This window comes from Homo sapiens, chromosome 3 (assembly GCF_000001405.40).
Source record: "Homo sapiens chromosome 3, GRCh38.p14 Primary Assembly".
NCBI classification, from domain to species: Eukaryota; Metazoa; Chordata; class Mammalia; order Primates; family Hominidae; genus Homo; species Homo sapiens.
In genome coordinates, this window is record NC_000003.12 from 188,911,130 (window position 1) to 188,915,502 (window position 4,373).

At 40.4% G+C, this 4,373-nt stretch overlaps 1 annotated feature.

The window, feature by feature from the left end:
• Window positions 3,351–3,645: a silencer, noted in NCBI's record as "tiled region #14211; HepG2 Repressive non-DNase unmatched - State 23:Low". NCBI's record gives its function as "represses a minimal TATA promoter and a strong SV40 promoter by Sharpr-MPRA in HepG2 cells {active_cell/tissue: HepG2}" and the evidence as "EXISTENCE:reporter gene assay evidence [ECO:0000049][PMID:27701403]".

The window sequence follows — 4,373 nt, forward strand, 5'->3', positions numbered from 1 at the left end:
CTGTGGTGTACTTTTTCTCCTCCTAAAAGGATATTGGAGAGCAATGCTGTCTGGGAGGCTGACAGCTGGGCAGTAACCAGATTTACCGCAGCGGTAGGTCAGAGGCTAAGTGGAAACTGTGTAGATGTGAAACATCTGCTTCCTTGAAATATTGTCTTCCTCTGTGAAATGGACATACAAAGTGATCTATCGTTCATTGGCTCTCTTCATTTAAGGAGTTTCTGCACTACTTTCTAAGAGCAAAACCTCTGAGCAGGATGCTGCAGACATTTGCCGGGCACTTCTGGGCTGATGGCAGCAGGTCTGTGAGGGACCTCTGAGTGCTTCTGCAAATTAGAGCAATAGGAGTCTAAGGACTTGCCTCTGAGAGATCTGAGTGCAGCGAGGACTATGGCTGCCTCATTAGACTTTGGCCTGAGCATTTGAATTACGGAAATGGATTCTACATCAGTGGCATTCATACCTGGGAGAATGCAGTACAGCCTGATACCTGTTTCAGGCATGTGGAGCAGCCCATACTTCTTGTACTTTCCAAGATCAGAGAGAAAGCAAACTTGACCTCAGAGCCTAAATATTTGCCCCATAGTCAGTTAATACCTCATTTGTATTCTTCACTTGCCTTTATGGAACAGTTTAATATTTTATTACCTGTGAATTCCCTCTCTCTCTCTCTCTCTCTCTCCCCCCGCTCCCCACCACCCCAAAGAGAGAAGTGGATATCTATGATGTGGGAGTGTTGATTCAAAAGCTAGATTGAGTTTATCCTAGGATGGGGATCTGTCTGAAGAGGACTAGAAGATCTATGGTGATAGGTCAGCAGGTGATTATTGCAGTGGTGGCCAAACAACCTGCTAGAAAGGAAGGTTTCTAAGGAAAAAGAAAGAGTGAAGGCCTGTAATAAAGGTCCACAAAAAATGGGGCATTTGAAAAGAGAGAGTGTCTATTCATTCTCAGAGTGTTGTACCCATTGACTTCTGAACTGCCTGCTGCCTTAACTCATGCCAAAGCTCAGGAAAATGGATGCTTACAAAAAGTCTGAAACCAAGATTTCATTGACTACTTAGGAGCACCAGGCAGCTCCAATTTGGGGTCCATAGAACATCATTCTATCCAAATGTAAAGAAGGGCTGCACGAAGTAGCTCTGATGCTTTGAGTGTGCAACTATGAGTGATGTCTGCATGTTTAATAGCTCATATGCAGTGGAATTTCGGATGGTAGCATAGAAGGTTTTGCCTCAGTCCAGAGTCAAAAGAAAGAACTCGTAAGAACGAAATGAAATATCCCAAATGATGCACACGTAAGTCACCTCAGGCTTCTCAGAACTAGTTGTAAAGGACTTTATGGGGATTGTAGGTGTACAAGATTGTTTAGGGACTAAAATCATAGCCCCACATTTACTGCCAGGCTAAACTGGTGTATTAGTCTGTTCTTGCACTGCTATAAAGAAATTCCTGAGACTGAGTAATTTGTAAAGAAAAGAGGTTCAATTGGCTCACGGTTCTGCATGTTAGGCAGGAAGCATAGTGTCTTCTGCTTCTGAGGAGGCCTCAGGAAACTTACAGTCATGGTAGGAAGGTGAAGGGAAAGCAGGTGTCTCACATGGTGGGGGCAGGAGGGAGAGAGGGGGGGGAGGTGCTGCACACTTTAAAATAACCAGATCTCATGAGAACTCTGTCATCATTAGAACAGCACCAAAGGGATGATGCTAGCCATTCTTGAAGGATCCATCCCCGTAACCCAATCACCTCCCACCAGGCCCCACCTCCAAAATTGGGGATGAGAATTGAACATGAGATTTGCGTGGGGACACAGATCCAAACCATATCAACTGGTATATAGAAAACATGGGATTTGTTGTTATAATTATTATTAATATTTACAAAATCTTTAGTATAGTACCTAGCATATAATAGTCACCAAATGTTATGGAATATTATAAAAATTTCTAATACTGACACATAAACACCATAAATATGTTGATTATTTTGTCTGAAACTGTAAGACATTATTTTCATTTGAGAACTATTTACCATTCTGACTAGTGTGAGATGGTATCTCATTGTGGTCTTGATTTGCATTAGGTGCCCATCAACAGTGGATTGGATAAAGAAAATGTGATACCTATATAGCATGGAATACTATGCAGCCATGAAAAAGAATGAAATCATGTCCTCTGCAGCAATGTCGATGCAGCTGGAAGCCATTATGTAAGCAAATTAATGCATAAACAGAAAACCAAATAGCACGTATTCTCATTTATAAGCAGGAGCTGAATATTGAGTACACATGGACATAAAGATGGGAACAATAGGCACTGTGGACTACTAAACAGGTAGGGAGGGAGAGGGGCATGGGCTGAAAAACCTATTGGGTATTATGCTGATGACCTGGGCGATGGGATCATCTGTAAGCCAAACCCCACCATCACAAAATATATCCATGTAACAAACCTGCACATATACCCTCTGAATCCAAAATAAAATTGGAAAAAAAGAACTTTTTTATCTGAACTGTAAAATTTTCATACTTTTTTACATTAATATTTTCATACATGTACATATTTTCACATTAATTTATATTTATATACATCTCTAATATAGATATATTATATAATATTTAATATATTATCATATATAGCGTACATTTTTATGGTGGTTTTGGCTTGATAACTGTTTTGAGTGATATGTGGGAGATAGAAGGGAAGATAGAAATCTTACTAAATATGTCAAGGTAATATCTCTCATATACTGGGAAGGTTTATATGCCAGTTCATTCCTCCAATGTGTCCAGAGAAATCCCTGGATATATGTAGAAAGATTTCTAGGCTGGACATGGTGGTTCATGCCTGTAATCCTAGCACTTTGGGAGGCTGAGGCAGGAGGGTCACTTGAGGTCAAGAGTTCAAGACAAGCCTGGGCAACACAGCGTGACCCCATCTCTACAAAAAATAAGAATATTAGCTGGGTGTGGTGGCATGTATCTGTAGCCTCAGCTACTTGGGAGGCTGAGGCAGGAGGATTGCTTGGGCACAGGAGTTTGAGGCTGCAGTAAGCCATGGTCCCTCCACTGCACTATAGCCTGGGTGACAGAGTGACAGCCTTTCTCAAAACAAACAAAAAAATATTTCTAACATCTTTCTTTCTGTTTACTACATAACACCTAAATTAATTATCAAACAAGAACTAATTGGGCACAGCCACATTCTTAGCTTCTCCAAGCCTCAGTTTCTTCTCCTGCAAAATGAAGATAGTTGTAAAGATTAAACTAAACTGTGTACGTAAAAAGTTCTTTGGAAACTATAGAACAATGCAAATGCAAGGCATTGTGACCACAGTTAGAGAACAGGCTAGGATATTTGTTGATTGTCGTTGGTATTATGGAAATTTGCTGCTTTCTTTCCTATGAGAAGGGTTCTTCCCTTGTCCTGTTCTTATCAGTCTGACTAAGTCACCATTTCAAAGCTGACAATTAAAGCTCAATTTCCTTGCACTTTGTCCTAAAGCAGATGTCCTAGAGCTGGGGACCATAATCATGAAGCGTGTGATGCATTCTCAGAGTTGGAGAGCAGTGTTTCCAGAGAGTCTGAAGATTAGGCATTTCCTCTCATTTTTCATTTTTGTCAGCTTCTTCATGTTTTCCTTGCTAAGTAAGAAAAGGCCTCGGTTTCAGTCTGTCATTGTATGACCCTAAATGAGTCACTTCTGTATTGGGTTGTCTTAGGTTCCTCAACTGCAAGTGTCTAGTCTTCCACTCACATGCAGCAGAGCAGCTCCACATTTACTTATGTTACTCAGAGGGTTACTTCACATAAGACTTTATAAAATAAGTTCCATTGTTAATTTCTCTAAACCAGTTGGACTACATCTTTTCATGTAAAACCTAGATGATCTCTGATACTCTTGGTTTTTACATGTAGATTCCACGATCCCTTCCTGGGAAAGTCATGTAACCAACTATAACATAGGAGCATTAAACATTTTTAGGTAATAGAATTAGGAAATAATGGCTGTGTAAGTATCCATGTGAATTCCTGTCAATAGTTCTCATATCATGTGCTTAGAATGATTTCAATCTGACTGAATCTTGCCAAGAAACTCATAGCTCTGCTTTCCCTGCAAATATGAAGATGTGTCAACCTCAAAGAGTTGGTTAAACTTTCTGTTTCACTCATACAAGTCTGGCATCAAATTCATTTAGCTTTGTGGTGCTTACCCATTACCCATTTGGCAGATTTCACTAGCCATGTGACAAAGGCATAGTCCAGCTCAGAGCATGCAGAATTTGGAATAATAAATAGTGACCCTCCTATTGGGGCTCACACCCAAGAAACGTCTTATCTTCTGGGGGAAAACCAAGATTAAGACATTGGTGG